The sequence below is a fragment of the Homo sapiens genome, chromosome 1 (assembly GCF_000001405.40).
Source record: "Homo sapiens chromosome 1, GRCh38.p14 Primary Assembly".
NCBI lineage: Eukaryota > Metazoa > Chordata > Mammalia > Primates > Hominidae > Homo > Homo sapiens.
Genome location: NC_000001.11, coordinates 207216050 through 207241010, shown reverse-complemented (window position 1 = coordinate 207241010; position 24961 = coordinate 207216050). Strand labels below are relative to the sequence as shown.

Sequence of the window (24961 nt, the reverse complement as noted above, 5' to 3'; positions counted from 1 at the left end):
CTGACAAAATTACTCAGACAATATTTGAGTGGGACATTCCTTTTTGTTTTTCCTGATTTACCTAAGTCACCTAATGAGTCACACTTTGGTGCCATTCTGGTCTGTTAAAAGAGGGAAATGTGGTGCCTGAAGCACTGAAAAGCATGCAGGAGCATGTGGCTGCAAGTGGGAACATACACAGACAGCAAGATTCCATCAGACCTGAAGAATGCTTGCATGGTTTTCAATCAGCCAAAAGCCACACTCAGCCTGGTGTTATGTCTCTGAAAAAAGGCAGTAAAAGATAAGCTGTTTATGTACATAATTATAATTCATGGGAAATAATACTTGAATAATAATATAATAATAATAAATATGCTGATTTTTACTACAAGAAGATGAGTTTTGGGAAAGGCCTGAAAATGACCTGCCTACCTAGTTCAGCTGCAAAGACTGTTACAGGAGTTCAAAATCCAAAGCACTTAGTTCTCATTTACCAAAAGTAACTCGGTAAATTATGATGTAACATTTATTACAGCATGATTAAATTTTAACCTCCCTAAAAAGAAGGAAAGCACATAAGTTCGTCATGAATTGACTTAACTTTAGAAGAGACTCTAAGACAATAACTGAATATTAGTTAGAAAAAACAAGGAATTTAGAGCGTTCGTTAGATGACTCTTTTACCTATTAGGCACCTCTATGTTCTAAGCACTTTCCATAAATGATCACATTTAGTCTTATGACAGCCTATGGTTTTTTAAAATCACCTTTCCAGAAAAGTGTAGGTGACATTTGGCCAAAACTTTACAGATAATAGGTGCCTGAGCCTCATTACCTGAGCCTTGTTATCACCTTCTCCCGCATGCTTTTCAGTGCTTCAGGCACCACACTTCCCTCTTTCAACAGATCAGAATGGCACCAAGTGTGACTTATTAGGTGACTTAGGTAAATCAGGAAAAACCACAAGGAATGTCCCACTCAAATATTGTCTGAGTAATTTTGTCAGGCCTGTCTGTACCCAAATAAGTGGTTCAGCCACTTATCTGTAAAGTTTTAGCCACTTATTTGGTTCACGAATCTGAATCAAATCTGTGCTTTCCACTAAAACCTAGTGCTTTTACCTTTCTTGCTTTTTTAAAAATGTTGGAATTATTTATTTTTGTGGGTACATAGTAGGTATATTTATTTATAGGGTACATGAAGTGTTTTGATACAGGCATGCAATATGTAATAATTACATCATGGAGAATGGGGTGTCCATCCCCTCAAGCGTTTATCCTTTTTGTGACAGACAATCCAATTATACTCTTTTAGTTATTTTTAAATGTACAACTAAATTATTATTGACTATAGTCACTCTGTTGTGATATCAAATACTAGGTCTTATTCATTCATTCATTCTATTTTTTTGTACCAATTAACCATCCCCACATCCCCCACCAGCTCACCCCCGATACCCTTCCTAGCCTCTGGTAATCATCCTTCTACACTCTCTATCTCCATGAGTTCAATTGTTTTGATTTTTTAGATCCCACAAAGAAGTGAGAACATGTGATGTTTGTCTTTTTGTGCCTGGCTCATTTCACTTAACATAATGACCTCCAGTTCTATCCATGTTGTTGCAAATAACAGGATCTTATTCTTGTTTACAGTTGAATAATACTCCATTGTGTATATGTGCCACATTTCAATAGATCCTTTCATCTGTTGATGGGCACTTAGGTTCTTCCCAAATCTTGGATATTGTGAAGAGGACTGCAAAAAAAACATACATGGGATTACAGATATCTCTTCAATATACTGATTTCCTTTCTTTGGGGTATATACCCAGCAGCGGGACTGCTGGATCATATGGTAGCTCTACTTTTAGAGGAGCCTCCAAACTGTTCTCCGTGGTGGTTGTGCTAATCTGCATTCCCACCTACAGTGAACTAGGGTTTCCTTTTCTCTACATCCTCACCAGCATTTATTATTGCCTATCTTTTGGATAAAAGCCATTTTAACTGGCGATGATAGCTCATTTTAGTTTTGATTCACATTTTTCTGATGATCTGTAATGTTAAGTACCTTTTCATATGCCTCTTTGCCATTTGTATCTTCTTTTGAGAAATGTCTATTCAAACCTTTTTGCCCATCTTTTTATCAGATTATGAAATTTTTTTCCTGTAGAGTTGTTTGAGCTCCTTATATATTCTAGTTATTAATCCCATGGCAGATCGGTAGTTTGCAAATATTTTCTCCCATTCTGTGGCTTGTCTGTTTTGTTTGCTGTGCAGAAGGTTTTTAATGTAATATGATCCCATTTGTCCATTTTTGCTTTGGTTGCCTGTTCTTTTCGGGTATTACTCAAGAAATTTTTGCCCAGACCAATGTCCTGGAGATTTTCCCTGATGTTTCCTTGCAGTGAAATAATTTGAGGTCTTAGATTTAAGTTTTTAATCCATTTCTATTTGATCTTTGTATACGCTGAGAGATAGGGGTCTAGTTTCATTCTTTTGCAAATGGATATCCAGTTTTTCCATCACCATTTACTGACGAAACTGTCTTCCTCAGTGTATGTTCTTGGCACCTTTGTTGAAAATGAGTTCACTGTAGGTCCGTGGATTTGTTTCTGGGTTCTCTTTTCTCTTCCATTGGTCTATGTGTCTGTTTTTATGCCAGTACCATGCTGTTTGGGTTACTATCAGTCTGTAGTATAATTTGAAATCAGGTAATATGATTTCTCCATTTTTTTTTTTTTTTTTTTTTTTGCTTAGGATAGCCATGGCTCTTCTGGGTCTTTTGTGGTTTCATATAAATTTTAGGATAGTTTTTTTCTATTTCTATGAAGAATGTCATTGGTATTTTGATAGGAATTGCACTGCATCTGTTGATTGCTTTGGATAGTATGAACTTTTTAAAAATATTGATTCTTCTAGTCCGTGAACATGGAATATGTTTCCATTTTTTGATGTCTTCTTCAAATTTTTTTATCAGTGTTTTTATAATTTTCATTGTAAAGATCTTTTACTTCTTAGGTTAATTCCTAGGCATTTAATTTTGTTTGTGGCTATTGTAAATGGAATTACTTTTTTATTTCTTTTTCAGATTGATTGTTTACTGTTGGCATATAGAAATGTTACTGATTCTTGTATGTGAATTTTGTATCCTGCAATTTTACTGAATTTGTTTATCAGTTCTAATAGTTTTTTGGTGGAGGCTTTAGATTTTTCCAAATATAAGATCACGTCATCTGCAAATCATTATAATTTGACTCTTCCTTTCCAATTTTGATGCCCTTTATGTCTTTCTCTTGTCTAATTGCTCTAGCTAGGACTTCCAGTACTATGTTGAATTACAGTGGTTAAAGTGGGAGTCCTTGTCATGTCCCAGATCTTAGAGGGAAGGCTCTTAGTTTTTCCCCATTTAATATGATACTAATTGTGGGTCTGTCATATATGGCTTTTATTATATTGAGGTATCTTCCTTCTATACCTAGTTTTTTTAGGTTTTTTTTTTTATCATGAAGGGATGTTGAATTTTATCAAGTGCCTTTTCAGCAACAATTGAAATGATCATATGGTTTTTGTCCTTCATTCTGTTGATGTGATGTATCACACTGATTGATTTGCATTATGTTGAACCATCCTTTCATCCCTGGAATAAATCCTGCTTGGTCATGATGAATGATCTTTTTAATGTATTGCTGAATTCAATTTGCTAGTATTTCGTTCAGGATTTTTGCATCAATATTCATTGGAGTTATTGCCCTGTAGTTTTCTTTTTTCTTTCTTTTTTCTTTTTTTTCTTTTTTTGACGTGTCTCTTTCAGGGTTTGGTATCAAGGTAATATTGGCCTCCTAGAATGAATTTAGAAGTATTCTGTCCTCTACTTTTTGGAATAATTTGAGTATGAGTGGTATTAACATTTCTTTAAATGTTGGTAGATTTCAGCAGTGAAGCCATTAGGTCCTTGGCTTTTCTTTACTGGAAGACTTTTTATTATGGCTTCAATCTCATTAATTTAAAATCTAGTACTTTTAAAATAATGTAAATAACTGTCACAGAAAACTAGGTAATTAGGTAGAGACAAAGAAGATAAGAAATGGGGTTAATATCTAGAAAGCAGAGATACTATTTCCTTCCCCCCAAGTCATCACAAAAGGAAATAATTAAGAGCTATGAAATAATAAACAAATATTAACATTGATATAATCCACTGATATTATTCAAATTTCTCACTTTATTTGTATTCTTGTTTGTTTGCATGTGCATTCAGTTCTACACAGTTTTATCACATATGTTGATTGGTGTATCCACCATCACAGTCAAGATACAGAAGAATTCCATCAACACAAGGATTACCCATGTTGCCTTTTTATAACGCACTCACCTCCCTCATGCCCATCCCCCTCACCTCTAATTCTGACAGCCACTAATCTGGTTTTGATATCTAAAATTTTGTCATTTTCAACAATGTTATATAAATGGAATTATACAGTGTGTAAACTTAGAGTATATAAACTTTCTGGATTATATGTTTTTTATTCAGCATAATTCCTATGACATTCATTTAAGATTTTATATGTGTCAATCATCCATTTTTTTTCTTTTTTACTGCCAAATAGTACTCCATAGTATGGGGTATGGGTGTACCAGAGTACTTTTTTTTTTTTTTTTGAGAGGGAGTCTTGCTCTGTCCCTGAGGCTGGAGTGCAGTGGCGTGATCTCAGGTCACTGCAACCTTCGCCTCGTGGGTTTTAAGCAATTCTCTGCCTCAGCCTCCCGAGTAGCTGGGATTACAGGCATGTGCCACCACACCCAGCTAATTTTTGTATTTTTAGTAGAGACTGGAGATTTCACCATCTTGGCCAGGCTGGTCTTGAACTCCTGACCTCGTGATCCACCCACCTTGGCCTCCCAAAGTGCTGGGATTACAGGTGTGAGCCACCACACCCCACCCTGGAGTACTTTTAACGAGATCCAATTTATCAATTTTTCCATTTAATGGAGTGCGCTTTCGGTGTCAAATCTAAACAATCTTTGCCTACCCCTATGCTATTTCCCAAGATTTTGTAAGTGCTATAGTTTTATACTTTACACTTAAATCTTAGATCTCATAGATTTTTCTCATGTGTTTTTTTTCTTTTTCTAGTTTTATGTTTCAAATTTAAGTCCAGGATTTATTTTGAGTTAATTTTTATATAAGGTATGAGGTTTACATCAAGATTTATTTATTTATTTGCCTGTAGATGTTCAGTTGTTCTCAAAAATGCTATCCTTTCTCCTTTGATTTACATTTGCACCTTCATAAAAAATTGGTTGTACATGTTTGTGTGTAGATGTATTTTTAAGCGTCTAATATGAACTAATCATTGAACAAATATCTCTTGAGCCCCTACGATGAGCCAAGCAATATTCTAGGTGCTGGGAATGCCACACTACCCAAAGCAGACAAAAAATGCCATACTCAAGGAGCTTATAGTCTAGTGAGAAAAATAAATATAAACCAGATAAATAAATATATACAAGGTCAGAGAAAGAAGTAGCATGACGAAAAATAACACAGAGTAATGTGCTGGGTGGTAAGGTGTGAGGTGGGATGGGCAGCACACGTTAGATGATATGGTCAAGGAAGGCTTCTCTGAATAAGTTACATTCGAGTAAAGGCCTGAATTGAGTGAGGGAGTGAGCCATGAAAATACCAAGGAGAAAAGTTTTGTCTGAAGAGGGAACATCATGTTCTGCAAGCTCAAAAGACTGAATATGGGTAAGAGGATGAAGACTTCAATTTTCAGTATAGCTGTGTAAGTGTCTACTGGTCCCACCCTCCCACAGATAGCAATTCTAAACTCTGAATAAAATACGGAAGAAAACAACAAAAATCCTACCTTAGGGAACCAGAAAGTGAACAAAAGCAGATACATTCTAAAGGAGCAATAAGTCTTAGAAGAAGGGGACACCATAGATCAAACTTCCCATTTGTTATGCCTTTTAGCCTGAGAGAATATCAAAGTTGACATGATGTGGCATGGCTAAAACTCTGAGACAAAACCAAGTCTTCCTGGTTTGAAAAAAACAGAGCTTTGGGCAGCAACAGCCACTAGAAAATTATGGGAGTCATAAAAATTAAAGAACCAAAGAGAAGAGCCCATCCTGTGTATAAACTCTGCCCAAATCTCTGGCTGATCTCTGAATCACCCATGAGCAGGACAGACTAAAAACAGAGCAGCTAAGGATAAAAGAAGTAAACTGAGATTTGGGCTGCTCCAGAGAGAGAGAGTTTTCAGGTTGGATGCAAGTAAGTTAGTTGTCTGTTTAAATGAAAAACAAAAAATAGTACAAACAAAAATAACTTTCTTTTTGGGGAGAATATAATAGAATCCATTTATAATGTCCAGGATACAATTCAAAATTACTGGACATATGAAGAAACTAGAAAATCTGAACTCCAGTTAAGGGAAAGGAAAGTCAATGGTGACTGTCTTTAAGATGATACAAATGTTGGAATTAGCAGGCAAGTTTTTTAAAACAGCCATTATAAATATGCTCAGTGATGTAAAGGTATATATGCTTGGTAATGAATAGGTAGATAAGAAATCTCAGTAGAAAATAAAATATTAAAAAGCATTGGCCAGGCACAGCCTGTAATCCCAGCACTTTGAGAGGCCGAGGCAGGTGGATCACGAGGTCAGGAGATAGAGACCATCCTGGCTAACATGGTGAAACCCCGTGTCTACTAAAAATACAAAAAATTAGCCAGGCATGGTGGCATGCACCTGTAGTCCCAGCTACTCTGAAGGCTGAGGCAGGAGAATCACTTGAACCTGGGAGGCGGAGGTTGCAGTAAGCCGAGATCGCGCCACTGTATTCCAGCCTGGGCTACAGAGCGAGACTCTATCTCAAAAAAAAAAAAAAAAAAAAAAGGCATCAAAACATTCTACAACTAAAACGTACCCTCTGAAATAAGAATGTCACTGGAGGAACTTGGCAGTTGAATGGAAATGAAAGGAAAGAGCCAATGAACTTAAGGATAAATCAACAGAAATTGTCCAGTCTGAAGTAGAGAAAGATAAAACATTTATATAAAAAACAGAGCCTCAGGACTTATAAGACAATATCAGATAACCAAATAAACATGTCATTGGAGTTCCATAATAGGAAAAAGAGAATGAAGTAGTAAAATTATCTGAAAAAATAGATTTCTCAAACTTGAGAAAAGAGGTACATTTACAGGTTCAAGGTGTTCAGTGAAACTCAAGCTGAACAAATATGAAGAAAACCATGCCTAGGCACATTATAGTCAAACTGCTGAAAACCAAAAATAAAGAGGAAATCTTAAAAGCATCCAGGAAAAAGACAGTGCTTACATACAGGGAATACTTTGAATAACTGCTGACTTCTCTTCAGAAATGACAGAAGTCAGAAAATAATATATAAAATTAGTCTTTGAGAAAAAACTAATCAAGAATTCTGAGTAGAGGAACAACCACTTGAGCTCTCCATGACTGCTATGAGGAGGTAAGAGAAGAAGCCTAAAGCCAGAAGCCTATTGTAGTAATCTAGTCCAGAAGTGATGGTGTTTTAGGCCAGGGTGATAGTGTAAATGTGATTAGAAATGACAGAATTGGGGATATATTTAGATTATGTCACTGATTTCTATAGTCATTTCTTTGCATAGGCTCTCAACCTCCTGTTTAAAAATCATTCTTGAACATGCTTGTTTGAAAGATTTCTAACCCTTCTTGGTAAAACGAGACGTGAAGAATAATGGAAGTACAAGAGTCAAAGGACTGGATGAAGATCCATTTTGGGTCAAATAATAGTTGGAACTGGGGTAAATGAAATTTTAAAAATAGACCTATATTGTAGAAATTATCCCATAATTCTAACACAAACATTTTTCCATTCTCTCGAAAACATTTCAAAGTAAGAAGGAAATGAATTAAATGACTGATTAGATATAAGGAAAAGAGAAGATGTGAAGAAACTGTGGTTTTCCGGCTTGAAGACATTGGTTCAATTTAAGAAACACATAATGACTCAAGTACAGAGAATAAATATAGGGTAGGCCTTAATGGGCTATCAGTCTGATGTCAAGAGACATTTGAGTAACTACCCAGTGTTAGGTAAGGAGTGTACTGGGTGTGGGCTATATCAGCCAGGAAAGCTGAGTCATTACACCTGAAGTCATATATCGATGAGGTACACGTGACCTGGCTGAGTTGGCTTAGCCTATATCAAAAGCAGCCCGTGTCTAGAATTGCTCTAGTCTTATAAGGCAATGCTTAGAAGGGAATATTTGCATTTCCAAAGTTCTCATGAGGCTCTCACTCATTCAGATAAAATCATCTCAACTGTGAATCTGCTGTGAAGATTTTGAAAGCTGGAAACTTGCCTGGAAACTAATCTGGAAAATGTGACTAATCTCTCTGCCTGTATCCAGACCTTGATAATGTCCTCCCATATTTCTGTATCTTTTGATTTACCCAAGCATCTGATGTCCGCATCCATCAGAGCCTCCTCTTGACGTTTGTCAATACTATAAATACTATCATTGCATAGACATTGGGATTCATGCAAGACCCCATGCCCGTTATAGCCAAGTCTCTGTGAGGAAACAGGACAATGAAGGGGAGAGATGTGATACTATGAGATAGCTAAAGCCCGTGGATTAGTCTGTTCTCGCACTGCTATAAAGAAATACTTGAGACCGGCCGGGCGCGGTGACTCATGCCTGTAATCCCAGCACTTTGGGAGGCCGAGGTGGGCAGATCATGAGGTCAGGAGATTGAGACCATCCTGGCTAACGTGGTGAAACCCCGTCTCTACTAAAAATACAAAAAATTAGCCGGGCGTAGTGGCGGGCGCCTGTAGTCCCAGCTACTTGGGAGGCTGAGGCAGGAGAATGGCGTGAACCCGGGAGGCGGAGCTTACAGTGAGCCGAGATCCCGCCACTGCACTCCAGCCTGGGCGACAGAGCGAGACTCCGTCTCAAAAAAAAAAAAAAAAAAAAAAAAATTAGCCAGGTGTGGTGGCAGGTGCCTGTAGTCCCAGCTACTCGGGAGGCTGAGGCAGGAGAATGGTGTGAACCCAGAAGGCAGAGCTTGCCGTGAGCCGAGATCGCACCACTGCACTCCAGCCTGGGCAGCAGAGGGAAACTCTGTCACAAAAAAAAAAAAAAAAAAAAAAAGAAAGAAAAAACTTGAGGCTGGGTAATTTACAAATAAAAGAGGTTTAATTGGCTCACAGTCCACAGGCTGTGTAGGAAGCACTGCTGAGAGAGCCTCAGAAAACTTTCAGTCATGGTGGAAGGCAAAGGGGACACAAATCCAAACCATATCACTTTGAGAGGCATGATAGAAGTAGACCTTACCAATGGGGCATGAAAACTATACCTTTAGCTTCCAAGAATCTGGTCCAGAGAAATAGTATTGGAATAATATAGACAAAAAACCAACAAAATCTAACACCTAGGTTATTCTTTCCTGCAGGGAGCCAAAACAGTGTAGATGAAACTTACAGATTCTGGGACTTATTCACATTTTCCACCTAACTGGGGACAGAGTAACCTTGGGGATATCAGGTGTAGTTGTAAACAAAAAAAAAATGTGGCCAATATAAGCACTGAAAAGATGAATCCTGTTGTGAGGAATATAGCAATTTCTCCTATATCTGACTGCATTATGGGTAAGGATATTCTACGTCAATGGGAAGACCAGCCATTACCCCGCCCCGAGATCAGTGGGGTATAGAAAACCCTTGGTCAGGTGCAATGGCTCACGCCTGTAATGCGAGCACTTTGGGAGGCCGAGGCAGGCAGATCATTTGAGGTCAGGAGTTTGAGACCAGCCTGGCCAACATGGTGAAACCCTGTCTCTACTAAAAATGCAAAAATTAGGCAGGTGTGGTGGCACGTGCCTGTAATCCCAGCTACTTGGGAGGCTGAGGCAGGAGAATCGCTTGAACCCAGGAGGCAGAGGTTGCAGTGAGCTGAGATTGCACCACCGCACTCCAGTCTGGGCTACAGAGTGAGACTCTGTCTCAAAAAAAAAGAAAAAAAAGAAGACTCACCTTCTTTACAATTTTTAATTTAATTTTTATTGAAGAATATTTTACATGCAAAAAAGCACATCGTCTCAAATGCAGAGCTAGTTGACTTTTCACACACTGAACATACCCATGTAACATCACCCAGATGAAGAAACAAAACATTACCAGGACTTCCAAAGCCTTCCTCATACCCCCATCCCGGGGGAAATTGCTATTTTGACTTAAACACTATGAATTACTTTTGCCTGTTTTTATACATTACATACATGAAACAAAACAGTATGTACATCTTTTGTATCTGGCATCTTTCACTAAACACTTTCTGTTTTGAAATTCATCTGTATAATCATTCATTTCATTGTTGCGGTATATTTCGTCATATGATGTATCACCATTAATTTATCCTCTACTACTCATGAGCATTTTGATCATTTCAAGTTTGGGGTTATTGTAAATAGGGCTGCTATAAACATTCTAGCACATGTCCATAGGTGAATAGATACGGATGCATTTTTGAGAGGTAATCTCTAGGGGTAGAATTGCTGGATCATAGAGTAGACATATGTTCAGCTTAGTTGCCAAAGAATTTTGTAAGGCAGTTGGACCAATTTATACTTTCACCAGCAGGTTTTCAGAGTTACGGTTGGAATACATTTTTACTAATACTTGATATTTTATCATTTTAGCTATTCTTCTGAGTATGAATTCTGAAATTGTACTTTGTGTTTGATTTTAATTTACCTAATGACTAATGAAGTTAACCAAGTTTTCTTATGTCTATAAACCAATTGGATATCATTTTTTGTGAAGGTTCTTCAGGTCTTTTTCCATTCTCTTGGTGGGTTGATTATCTTTTTAAATTTATTTGTAAAAGTTCTTTATATTTGGGGGGCACAAGCCCTTAGTTTGACATGAGCTTTGCAAATAGTGCTTTCCAGATTGTAGCTTGCCTTTCACTCTCTTACTGGTGTCCATATCAGTGTTCTAGGGCTGCCATGACAAAATATCAAAGACTAGGGGGATTAAACAACAGAGTTTTGGTTTTTCTTATTCTCACAGTTCTGGGGCAGGGAGTCTGGGATCAAGGTATGAGCATGCTTGTTTTCTTCCGAGCCTCTCTCCTTGGCTTGCAGATGGCCAAGCCATCTTGAATGGCTTGAATAACTTTCAAGCTTGTTATTATTGGGTGAAAGGGATATCAAACAAAACCAAATATCCCTTAAGTATAAAGTGGAAACAAGAAGTTACTCTAGAGAAATACTAGTAATCAGAATGGAGGAGACTCAGAAGAAGATGGCATATTTGATCTGATACAGGTCAGGAAGAGTAGGAAATGAAAATGTAGGGTAAAGATATTTCAGATAAAGGATGCAAGTATGTGTTTTTTGAGGACAACATATACAATAAAGTAGAAAAGTAAGTTAATCTGAGAAACATCAGAAAATGACTTACAGAGAGCCCTAATTTTTCATTACTCAGAAATCAAAGTAAAAACAAAGATAATTTGATTTTTGATAGGTAATTATTTATTCAGCCAGTCCACCAAATCCAGGAAAGCAGGAACTTAAACTGAACTAAGACAAAAATTATGAATTGTTTCATGTGATCGGTGCCACTAAGAATATTAGTGAATTCTCCTAAACACAGATATTTTTCCCCAGTAAATAATAGTACTTGAGAAACACAGAATTGCTAAAGAGAGAAATATAACTGCTTCTCTGTTTTGTGGGGAAAGGGAAGGAAAATCCTTCCTAACTGGTTTCTAACTGGCATTGTTCGTCTTCAAGTCTCACACGTGTTCCAGTCGTTTAATCTCCAGAGACAGCTTTTACACCTCCAGGGTCATTTTCGAATCCTCTGGGTGTGGGAGACACTGCATGAGCTTTCTACCCGTGAGCACTTGCTCACAACCTTCAGAGATTACCTAAATGAAATAAAGCGATAGTTTTTGAGAGGCTTCTCTCCAAATGAAATCCGAATATGTAAGATTTCTTCTGGATGTATCACTGATGACCACAAAACCGGAATGTCAAAACCCTCCTCAGGACAGATGAATAAAATCCCAAAGAAACTAGGGTCTCAGCAAAGTATTCTCCCTCGGCCGTCAGGCAGCAATCAGTAGCTGGTGAAGCAGGGAAGGAACAACGCTGCAGACAACACCCAGGGGGCCTCGTTAGGGGCGACAGAAGGGACAATTCTGATGGGCCCATCTGAAATGAAGCAAAAGCATAGCATTTATTATAGAAAGTATGAGGCTGGGGGTCAAGTCAGCTGGATCTATGAGACCTTCCTATCTAGGGGTGTGGTCCTTCTTGAGCTTACCTTAACAAGTACACCAAAGTGCTTCAAAGGTGACGGTGCTAATTCTGTAAGTGATGTGCCCGAAATAAATCTTGCCAAAAGTCAGATCTCGCTGGTGTTGGCTAGGACAGTGCTCTGGAGGAGACTATCATTTTTAGAATGGGATAGGATGCCCTGAAATGTGTGCCACTTACCCACTCACAACTGGGCACCTCTGGGTGCCTGCCATGTTCTGTGCTCTGATCAAGTGATATTTTGAGGACCAACCAAAGTGATATTTTGAGGACCAACCACTTTATAGCCAGAGTCACACTGGATGGTGACATTTTCAAGTTCAACATACAGATCCTTACCCAGACAGCTTTCCATTTTCTGTCTCTGGTTTCAGACACAGAGCTATAATGGAAACACAATTTTGATCATCCTATGATTCTCAGAATAAGATCTTATAATAGTAAGAATATTGAGAGTTATGAAACATTGATAAATTATACCTGGATGGGATGCTGAGAGTTGTTCTTTACCTCCATTTATTTATGATTATAACAATAAGATTAATAATAATGCTAATAATGTTATTGCACATACTATATGTCAATGTAAGTACTAATGCAAAACATTATTACCTCCATTTTGCTAAAGAGAAAAATTAGGTACAGATAGTTTGTGTGACTTGTCTAATATTGCATAGCCTTTGGGTGGCATGATTATGATGTAAACCTAGTCACTGCGGTCCTAGAGTCAGAGTTTTCAAAATTAGTACAGTATTTCCAAACCTTGATCTTTTCATGGTCCTAAGTATATAATTTTTATTCTCATATTCTTAATATCTTGCTGTGTTAAATGGAGACAGTGTGGGGAATTAGCTCCTTGAGTTGCTATTAATAGATTAGTTAAAAAAAAAAAAAAAGGTTGACCCTATCCTTGTGGTTGACCAAAAATCTCCTATCAGGTCAACTTCATTATGAGAAGGTGGGAGCATGCATGGTTTCTAATGGAGACATCGAATACTTCAAAGATGTTGGGAATTTACCCACAGGATTCCTCATTTAAACTTAAGTAGATGCCCACTAAAATTTTGCCAAATCCTCACTGATACTCTCAAATTAAAAATTGTATCTCTAAGTCCACTAACAGAACCCTGTATATACAGACACTTGAATTATAACAAAGGTCACACTGCAGAGTTGTGTGGAAAGTATAGTTTATTAAATAAGTGCTATATGATTAATTGAACAGCCGTTGGAGAAAAACAAATTTTAACCACTACTTTCCACCATAAACACACAGGAATTCCAAGTGATTTGGAGATACTAATGTGAAAAGTTAAAACAATAAAGCTCTGGAAAATAACATAAGGAAATATTTTTTGTGACCTTGCTGTAGGCAAATATTTCTTAAACAGGATATGAAAGGTGCCAACATCAAGGAAAAAAATTATAAATAGAACTAAATTAGAATTTAGAACTTCTATTTATCAAAATTAGAACACTCATACACTGCTTGTGGAAATTTAAATTGTTGCAATCACCGTTGAACAAAATTTGGCATTATCTACTAAAGATGAATATATGGCTGGGTGTGGTGGCTCACAGCTGTAATCCCACACTTTGGGAGGACAAGGCAGGTAAAGGAGGATCACTTGAGCCCAGGAGTTCAAGACCAGCCTGGGCAACAAAGAAAGGCCCTATCTCTACAAAACACTTTTTAAAAATTAGCCAGGTATGGTGGTGTATGCCTGTAGTCCCAGCTACTCAGGAGGCTGAGGCAGGAAGATCCCTTGAACCCAGGAGTTGGAGGTTACAGTGAGCTATAATCATGCCACTACACTTCAGCCTGGGTGACAAAATGAGAACTTGTCTCAAAAAAAAAAAAAAAAAAAAAAAGAGATGAATAGATGCATACTCTATGAAATAGCAATTCCACTTTTAAGTTTATTCCCAACATAAATATTTGCACATTTGTATCAAGAGTCATGTGCAAGAATGTTCATAAGAGCATTGTTCATAATAGCCTATAACATGAAAATCCTAAACTTTTATAAGATACATAAAATGTGTTATGTTTATCCAAAGATTATACAACAATGAAAATGAATAAGCTATCACCCCATGCAAGAACACATAGATGATTTTCAAAAACATAATACTGAGTAAAGAAGGCAGGCACAAAAGAATACATACATGATTTCCTTTATATTCAAAGTAATGGCAAAAACCGCAGTGACTTTTGCACCAATCTAAATATAATGCTAAAAAGTTGATAAAACTAATCTGTGATGCTAGAGGTGAGACTAATTGGGAAGGAAAGTTGGGGAGTCACTAGGAGAGGGCACACGGAACACTTCTGGGATGCTGGTAGTGGTGATGCTTCTTGACTTGAGTGGTAGTTTGTCATGGTGGGTTCACTTTGTGATAATTTATTGACCTGTACACCTAAGATTTGGACACAGTGTTGTAGTATGTTATATTTAAATCAAAACTTTTATTCAAGCAAAAAGTGGCCTTCCAGATGACCTCTGAAAGATACATTGATAACAGTAGTGTTCAAGAGTGATAAACTGTGATCATTCATGCTATTAAAATATTGTACCATGTGTATATATTAATTATGCAAATTAAATAAATAAGTAAAGTGTAAATTTCTAAGTGCTGCCTCTGTCTAGGAGGAGACTCTTGTTTGACCTTTCATAGAGGCTCTACCTTCTTAGCAAGGGCCCTCAGTAAGTTTGGAGTTAACCTTTACATTGAGGGGCTGGAGCTGACCAATGTGAATTTCTGCAGGTGACTTCAGCCTCTCCAATTAGAACATATCCATCATCACAGTGACAGTGCACCAGAGTAGTAGAGAATAAAAAATGATCTCACATCTTCATAGGACCCATGGCCAATGGGAGGAACCATTCTGCAAACTTGAATGGTGAGAGAGAAGGTAGAGGAGAATGAGCTAGAGTTTCATTTAATGAACAATTCAGTGAGCGACCCTTCTCGTTATGCAGAACTAGGTCATTAACTTATTGTACTGCTGATGTACATTTCGTCTCCTTGACAAAATCAGTAAACTTTTACACTGTTCATGAACTTCTGGGTACAAAAGCATTAATTTAGCCACAGGGAGTTACTCCAAAACAGAATCATATTCAGTAATCATGAGGTTAAATAAAAAGAAAGGCCACAAATTAATTTTCAAAAAGCAGACAGTGCAATTTAAAAACAGCTGAGAGACTTGAATAGATGTTCCTATAGAGGGGCTATACAGATTGTCAACAGACATATTAATAGGTGCTTAATCACATGGGTCATCAGGAAATACAAATAAAAGCCACAATGAGAAATCACTACACACTCACCAGAATGTCTACAATTGAAAACTATGATAATACCAAAGTTTTCATGAGTAGGACACAATGGAACTCCAATGAACTACCTAAGGAAATATAAATTGGTACAGCCACTTCCAAAAACAGTTTGTGGTTATGTCCTAGAACCTGGCAATTACAATCATGGATATTTTCTTGGCAGAAATACACAAACATGTGCACTAAAAGACAAGCTCAGAAATGTTTTCAGCAACATTATTTGTAATGTGACCAAACATGAAAGAGCCTAAAAATCCATCAACTCTAGAACAGATAAGTAAATTATGGTACATTCAACTGATGGAGTACTAGACAGCAATAAAAATGAATGAGATACTATTTACAAAAAAATGGGTGAATCTCACAAATACATTGAGCAAAAGCAGACAGACCATTAATGTATAATTCTATTCCATTATTAAAGCTTTTAAAAATGCAAAACTAAGCTACAGAACAAGTATAAATAAAATAAAGAAATGATTACTCTGCAAATCAGGATGATGGTTACATTTGAAGAAGGATGAAGTAGTAAATGGGAGGGCCCCCATGGGACTTCTGGGGGCTGGCAATGTCCTACATCTCTACCTGGGTGACATTTTCATTAAGTGTTTGATTTTTGATGAATCATGTTGCTGTACATTTTCACTTTGTATACTTTTCTATATGTGTATTATATTCTAATAAGCTTTTTAAAAAAGAGTTGATTATCTTTGAAAATGGTTAAAGAGTGAATGAATCCGGTTGAGTCCCCCCACCTCTTCCAACTACCACCCCCTCCACAAAGAGAATGTTTTATCATTTTGCAATTTTTGGAGAGAGGTTTGTTGAAACAATGCAAAACAATGGCATATTTGGAAGTAAGAAATATGCAAAGAGCACTTTGGGAAGTTGAGGTGGGCAGATCACTTGAGGTCAGGAGTTCCAGACCAGCATGACCAACATGGCAAAACCCCGTCTCTACTAAAAATACAAAAATTAGTGTGGTGGAGCATGCCCATAATCCTGCTACTCAAGAGACTGAGGCATGAGAATCGCTTGAACCTGGGAGGTGGAGGTTGTAGTGAGCCAAGATCATGCCACTGCACTCCAGCCTGGGCAACAGAGCAAGGCTCCACCTCAAAAAAAAAAAAGAAAGAAAGAGAGAGAGAGAGAGAGAGAAAGAAAGAAAGATGCAATGTTGAGTTGTTGAGTTAGCCTGTCAGTAAAGGAATGATCTATAGTGCCAAAAGTTTTGCAGACAAGATTTAGTGCAATTTAATAAATTTAGAGCTTTGAGTATGTTGATAAAGCACCACACTAAGGGAAGAGTTCCTGTAAGGACTGAATCTAAGTTAAAGCTGTTTCCAACTTATTTGCTAAAAAGCAAATTAAAACTGCTGGCTCCTTTCTCATGGACTCCATCCTCACCAAGAACTACTCCTTCATGTGTGCACTGTTCTCAGGCACTCTCACCGGTTCAGTGTTCTCCTATTAAGCCATGTGCATTCTCACTTCTGTGCCTTTTCTTCTGCCATTTGCCCTACTACAATGCTCTCTACCTTTCTCCACATGCAATCCTGGCACGCGGTGATCATTCCTGCCTGTGGTTGCCTATGGCTCTCAATAGGAATGATATTTTGAGTTCTTAGCCACTTGCATTTTATATATGTTTATCATATATTTATTCTACAGAAAAGGAAACACAACCTTAGAGAGGTCAGTTATTCTGCATAAGATCACAGTTACTAAGTGCCAGTGACATGAATGAAACTTAGGGATTAAACTCAGGCTTCTATCAGTTCAAAACCCACTGCTCCTTCTTAGAATACTACTATTTTCTGCTCTCTATAGAAAGCATTAGGTAAGTACTTTATGTGGCAGCTTCAGAGGTGTAAAAGGCTGTAAAATGGAAGTTTTGGCTGAAAAACAATATTCTTGTTATTTGCAAAGTCAAGTAACCCTCTCTCACTGATGAAGTAGGTGACTCATAACCGGTTAGAAAGCTCTTATCTCCCTCACCTGAATAAAAAACATTGAAATGACAGAAACGGAAGATATTTTAAGGATATTTGGGAAGGATTTTTTTTGTAGTGAAGCATTTGTTTTCCTGTGAGCCCCATTCCATCACTTGCATGAGGAAAATGTGTGGGTGCACTTTTCCTTCACATTGAGAGAGGGACTCTAAGGAGCCCACTGAAAAAGCCTAATATGGCTCCTCTCAGTTTGGACAGGGGGACACAGTGGATTAGTGTTGGACTCCTGCCAGGGAAATCTAAAATGCAAAAAATGGGCTGTCCAGTGGTTCTGATAGTGGGAACAAATGAAAGATCTCTGCTGCTTTGAGATTGTATAATAACCTATACTCCAGATGTTATTCAGAAAAATGGAGGGGTGAGTACTTCCAGGGGATTAGAAATCAGATGCATGAGAAAGTAATTCATGGTGGAGTTGTCTTCAGGTGTCTAAAAGAGCCACCAGGGTGGAAGAAAGACCTCAGTAAAAACAAAATAAAACAAAAACAAAACCTCTAGGAGTCACCAGATATCGAGGAGATAGGAAAAAGCAAGTGGTCAACCAGAATCGGAGATGGGTTTGACCACACCCAGGGAATTGTTAACAGATCCTCAGTGATGGTAGAGGACCCCATCCCCACCCCTCCACACACACAAAACACAAGAGAAAGAGCAAGTCGGAAGCACCCAGGAGGCCAAGGATTAGCTCAAGTCAAACATTGTTTCTCTCACTTCTTCTCCCAAAGTTTCAACTCAGGGGAGCTCAGAAAGCATAGCAACAGTCAGTCCAAAGGAAATGTTTGTTTTTGTAGCGAGGAATAGAAATTCACCTGTATATAAGTCCACAGCCTCCACACAGCCTTTCCTAACCCTCAGATTAAACACCTCTATAGAAATAGAAAACATAGCTTTTAATTTTTATAAATAAATAAATACATATGTAGAGCTCTTTGCTAGGCTTTTTGGGTAATATTAAGGGACATACTTGTGATGTATTTGAAAAGTTAAACTATAGCCATATAAATAGTCATACCATAGAACCAGTCACACAAGTGCCAGAAGATTAGGACAGAAAAGGAGTTCTATAGGAGAAGGTGGTGACAGAACAGAGGACTGGATTGTCAAGGGAAGGCTTCACAGAGTAAGGGGGAGGTACATCTTCAAGGGTGAGTAAAGTTGAGTCATTGAAAAAAATGGGAGAGGTAGAATATACTGAGGCAATAGGCAACTCTGGCATCAGATTGCTGTTGCAAGAGAAGTGGGAGGTAGGATCAGAAAGGGAGGCTAAGGTTGACAAGACATTAAACACCCTTTCAGGGGGTTGGGATCAGAAGTAATGTGAAGATTTGAGGGACCAGAAGATAAAAGAAAAAATAAGTAGGAACATGGAGAAATAATTCAAAGACTTGTTGACAGATTGGAGAAAGTCTTCCTCCATTTCCTCAGAATATAAGAAGGGAACTCAGAGGTGGAGTTGGCCTCTTTATCCGGTACTGACACTGTTACCTAAATTAACACCATCCCTCAATAGTTTTCATGCTTCTGATGTGAAGAGTTATCTTCCAAATACAGTTGCTTCCTTAATAAATCACGCTTTCTTCCTCAATGATCAAAAAAGCATGGCTTCAGCACTTTATGTCAATCTACTAGCTCTCAGAAGAGCACCCAGCTATTATTTTTGGGTCAAGATTTCCCCCCTAAGCCATCCAAATCCTCCATTTTTGATGCTACAATAGCTGTTTCAGGGAATATGTTTATAAATACTTTAACATGTTATAAAAATTAGTTCTCTCAAGAAACAATGTTGGCTAATGACAGAGAAAACTACAACTTTGCTAAAAGGACATTCCATTTAAATAACATAACAATCATTAATTTCCATAACAACAGCTCTTCAACCAGTTCTGGCAAGTTCTCTCAATCTCATACATTTCTCATTCATTCATAAAAACTTCCCTATATTTGAATAACAATGTGTTACTGTTGCAGTAAACTGAGGAACGGAGAAACTTTTAGATGCTGCTTGGCTTTGGAGACTTCCCTATTCCTGCTACAACTCTGAGCTGTAGCGCAGCTCCTATTAGCCCTATGCAGATAGACACTAGTCTTAGTCGGCCCCACACTTTCTTGGAGCACACAGTCCACACTAAGAGATCTGTGACTCCCCACTTCGCAGCTGTTGTGACTAACTAGGCCCCTCCATTTACACACTTTCACACACTTTTAGTTCCCATGTTTGTAACTGAGGTGGTGAGCCACTCTCGCCACCTCCAGATTCCTAGTTGGGGTGGTGAGCCACTCTCGCCACCTCCAGATTCCTAGTTGGGGTGGTGAGCTACTCTCGCCACCTCCAGATTCCTAGTTGGGGTGGTGAGCCACTCTCGCCACCTCCAGATTCCTAGTTGGGGTGGTGAGCCACTCTCGCCACCTCCAGATTCCTAGTTGGGGTGGTGAGCCACTCTCGCCACCTCCAGATTCCTAGTTGGGGTGGTGAGCCACTCTCGCCACCTCTAGATTCCTAGTTGGGGTGGTGAGCCACTCTCGCCACCTCCAGATTCCTAGCTGATTTAGCAAGCCACTCTCGTCCTGTCTTGGCGGGGTGTGAGTTTCATCTGGATTGACCAGCCACTCCCCTCGCCCCCAGCCCCTGTGGGTCGGACTATTCGGCACACCCCAGGAGGTGATCAGGCTCCCCTTCCATCCAAGGGACGGGTCCTGCCTTGGGCTCCCAAAACCTTACCACGTTTCCTGAAGCGTCCCGTTTCTGAAATCGTCCTGTAGCTCCTTTTAGGTTCTGTTGCACGGCTAGGTAGGGGGCGCCAGGTCACGGTAGAGCTGATCTCCCCTCTGGGCTGAAGTTCTCCTAGCAGCGCCTGGGGTCACAGGTTTCCCAAGGCCCAGGCTCCAACCCCCAGACCCAAAGGAGACAGTAAGCCTGCAGTCTTCAGTCCCTTCGTGATTGCCATAAACATTGTGGTAAACTGAGGAACGGAGAGACCAATAAGGAGTACAGGAGGATTTGTTTATTTTTAGGTATGCACCGGCTCAGAGGATTTATATCCAAAAAGCTGTGCATTGAATAAAAATAGAGCGGCATTTTTATAAGCGGCCTTACCAAAGCAAAACAAAAGCAGTTAATTATACAGTGACAGGTCACTTAATTTATAACATAACATAATTTGCGATCTTGCATAGCTGGTGACCTTGTAGCTGCATCGAAAGAAAAATAAAAACTGGCTAAATATAGACATTTGTGAAACATAATGCTCAAGAAGCCTGGGAAAAGAGTAACAGTAAAAGCATTTGTCTTTTTTTTTTTTTTCCTTTAACCTTGCTCTAAAATGGAGGGGTGTTTGGAACCCATTCCTTTGGCCTTGGCTATTCAGACAGGATTATCTTATAACTATCCTTAAAATAAGCTGCTAGACAAAGGAAAACTTTTTTTTAACCCTTGCCTTGCCACATTTTGGGCCTTAGCTTTTACTTTTTTTAAAGTAAATAAATGCAGTACTTATTATCATTATTATTATTTAAATTTCTGCCTTATTACATTTGTATAAGGCTTTATAGTTTACAAAGTGCTTAAATTTTACTTCAGCAAATTCACTCAGAATTTGTGATAGCAGGCAGTATATTGTGCTTTGAGGATGGAAATTTTTTCTGATCAATTAGTAACTGAGATTGTAGATGGTATAACTAACTTAATTGGAAAATAATTGTATCTTAAGCATTTAGGAATGTTTATTTAAATATAAGAAATTGATTTAAAAATTAAAGGTTATTCCTTTCTAAAGCAGCTCTGCAAAGATTTTTGCATATGATCACTTTGTTGTTTTAGACCTAATAACAGCTTCTATCTAAATTAGAACAATTTCCTTGACATTTTAAGATTCTTCATTTTTATTAATAACATAGTCACTTTATTCTCTCGAAAATCTTGTGAACTACCACCATTTGACTATATTTCCCAGCCTAGTGCTGGGAAAATGCTCTGCAACTTGAGGGACATGGCAGAGTCTCAGAGGGGACACAATGGGGCTCCGCCTTCTGCGATACCTTGAATCAAGAGGAAGAAAAGTTCTCTAAGTAACCATTGAAATATGCCTATGCCAAGGAGTTCAGCCTTGGCAAAGTCCCAACAATGGGTCACTGAAAGGGAGGGGCAAGGAGTGTGACTGGTAGACCAGATGCTGAGCACAGTTCTGACAGAGGGGAGCTGATATGGCCCTTTCTTGGGGAGAAGAGTCTGGGGCACCCTCTGAGATTCTGTATGTATCTCCCTGAGACTTTATCACTGTTCAGGCGGAGCCAGTGATGAGTCCCTTTGTGGGTATATGCATAATTCTTCTCTGAGGGAACAAGAGCAAAAGGCAAAAGGACTGCAGCTCCTGTCACACAGGGTAAGTGGTGGGTCTCCAGGAAGGAGAGGTCGCAGCATGAAAGACCAGGCTGAGAAGCAGTTCCTGTCCAGGAAGCAATATCCTCACCGAGGCAGATAAACTGCCCATAGAAGAATGAACATTTTTTTTTAAAGTTTGCAAAGTTAAACTTTTCTAAACAGTCCAGCCAGAATGAGTAAAACAAGTCTCTACTTTTAAAAATAAGAATCTAGTTCAAACAATAATTACTCTTACAAGAAATATATGTAAGTGGGAACTTCGTTTTCCTACTTCCTGGAATTTCTGATGTACCAAATGATTCACTCTGTGATACTATCTTACTCTGAAAACTATTCTAGTTTGTGCTTGCAGCACAGAAAAAGCTTGCCCTGAAATTTAAATGCTTGAGGATGATAAATTAGGAAGAAAGGAAGATTTATTGTGACTTACAGAATATCTCAATGGTGCTTGTTCAGAGTGAAACCCAGCATTTTGCCTGTAAGCAACAAAAGATATGTTTTTGAAAGGCACATTTGTTATTCTTCACGGGAAGATAACCACAGGACAAAATTTCTCTTAGCTATCTGCAACTACCTAGCTATTCACCCAGACCATTTCCTAAATTTAGTCTCTTAAAGTGAGACAGACAAAACCACCAATCTGAGTTGTATCTTTTGCCCACCAGCCGTGGGTTTCTGTTCCTGTAAGAGACAAAGATTGCTGTTCGAACAAGAGAGTAAATTCTGGAATTTGTCCCAAAGTGGTCTTCATTACCCAGTTAAGTTGGAATGACTACTACATACCAATAATAGCCAAAATGCTTATCTCTCAAAAATAAATAGAACTACCAAATATAACTGAGCAAACGTCTTTGGAATATTGATGAAAGCACAGTTAAATCTCAACTTTCTAGAGAGAAAAGAAAACAAATCCACTAAGTGGTTTCTTCCTTTAGAAAGAGGAACACAGTAAAGTAGTTTAGCGGGGTGCAATGGCTCATGCCTATAATCCCAACACTTTGGGAGACTGAGGCGGGTAGATCACTTGAGGCGAGGAGTTTGACACCAGCCTGGCCAACATGGAAAAACCCAGTCTATACTAAAAATACAAAAATTAGCTGGGCGTGGTGGTGAAAGTCTGTAATTCCTGCTACTTGGGAGGCTGAGACACAAGAATTGCTTGAACCTGGGAGGCAGAGTTTACAGTGAGGTGAGATCACACCACTGCACTCCAGCCTGGGCAACATAGCGAAACTCTGTCTCAAAAAATAAATAAATAAATAAGTCATTTAAATGATTAACCAGAAGGTTTGTTAACCTGGCTTTAATTTTTGAGCATGAGATGTACCAGAACTTTACATAAATTATCATAATTGATCTCAAACAACCCTGTGACATGGCTCTAATCTTCCTCATTGCATAGATGAGGAGACAGGTTCAGCTAGATTATGTAAGCTGCCCTAAATCTCTCAGATATTTTAGTGACTAAGCCAAATTCTGCCCAAGAATGATTCCAAAATCCAAGATTTTTCATTATACCAAAATAATTTTCACTCATTGGCCAAAATGACTACCTGTGAGTCTGCTGACTGGGCCACTTGGGAGTAAATGAACACAGTTGGGTTTTACCCAGTGATATGCTCACCCTCCAGTTGCTGCTGGTGCTGCAGTTAAGGGGTTATACCTGTGACATTCTGCAGAGAATGCCTTGTTATAATAGCAGCCATGTAATCCTGATGTACCAAGGAAGTTATGCCCCACCCCCCAAGAAGCAACCAATGTCGTACTGGTATTGGGGTACAAGAGCCCTAATCCCTTGACTCAAGTCTGTATGACCCTGTGATGCAATTTGTACTCAAGCCCCTGTTGATTTGGTGTAGGCTATGCATTTCCTGTGAACATGTTCTTGCTCAGTTCTTTCCCCTCCCTATTTGGCTGCTTCATTTCTTTAAATTTTATTTTTCTTCCTGAAGGGCACATTCTTAAAAATTCACATGCACCTGGAACTAGGAAGCAGACTCTAAGGATGGGATTCTTGAATTGTATCACCCACCAGCCAACTGGCAATCAAGACCCCATCACTTGTAAAAGGTGGGGTATCGATAGCCCCGTTTGCTGTAGCAGGGCAACTATTCACATTTTTACCCGGTGAGCTGTCATGGAACATAGATGGGGAAGATGCACTGGCTTGTGCCATGTCTCTGGCATTTGAGAGGTAGGATGGAAATGGCAATAATAGGGATTGTGAAATTGGGTGGCTGAGTAGCACCCCTTAACTGAAAATGAAGGCACAAAGCAATCAATCACAATGCAAATACAAGAGTGAAAGCCAGAAGGTCTCCTTGTTACTATCAAAAGAAACTCTTATCTCAGGTAGCTGAGGGTTAATTATGCTGAGGACCAGGCTCAGGACCTTACCTAAAAAGAACAGCAGGACCTCAACAAAGGATGAATTCTTAGCCTTTCCAAGTCTCCTACTGAAACTCAGGGCCCTTATATACACTACATTATTATTTACTATATTCACCACACTGTGCAGTATATTTCAAATAAAAACCTTATTCCTACTGTCTAATTGATGGATAATTGGCCCATTTTACCTTGTTATAATAGTGTCCTTTCCCCATGCTTATACACTATGCAGAGGATCAAATTAAGCAGGTGCTATATAAGGCCATAATTGCCCTCCTCAAGATCTGTCCCCACCTTATCACTAGTCACCAGGCCAATAGCTGGGGTCAAATCTCAGTGTGAACTGACTGAGAAAGTGCTGTCCCTGCTAAAAGAAGAGAGAAATTAAACCCAGGAGCCATGGGATCTAGCTAGCATGTGTTGCCAGGAACAGGGAGATTATTCCTGGGCATGGATCCTGAGGAACTGGGAGAGTATGCCTGGGAGTGGATCCTAAAGCTAGATAAGG

General features: G+C 38.7%; 2 long non-coding RNA genes and 1 pseudogene across 4 annotated transcripts in view; 1 reads left to right on the top strand and 2 right to left on the bottom strand.

Moving 5' to 3' along the window:
- Positions 1 to 899, bottom strand: part of LINC02942 (long intergenic non-protein coding RNA 2942) — a 74070-nt gene extending 73171 nt beyond the window's left edge. Inside the window, exon 1 of the long non-coding RNA NR_186170.1 lies at positions 818 to 899. This is a non-coding gene — a long non-coding RNA (long intergenic non-protein coding RNA 2942). The remainder of the gene's footprint in view (positions 1 to 817) is intronic.
- The window catches only part of LOC107985251 (uncharacterized), a 195120-nt gene that overhangs the window by 81119 nt on the left and 89040 nt on the right, over positions 1 to 24961 (top strand). The window contains exon 1 of one of the 3 annotated variants that reach the window (XR_007066840.1): positions 20674 to 22063. The exons of the other annotated variants lie outside the window; for them this stretch is intronic. This is a non-coding gene — a long non-coding RNA (uncharacterized LOC107985251). Of the gene's footprint in view, positions 1 to 20673; positions 22064 to 24961 lie in introns of those variants that run through there. 3 annotated transcript variants of the gene reach the window in all.
- On the bottom strand, positions 11809 to 15213 carry C4BPAP2 (C4BPA pseudogene 2; annotated as a pseudogene).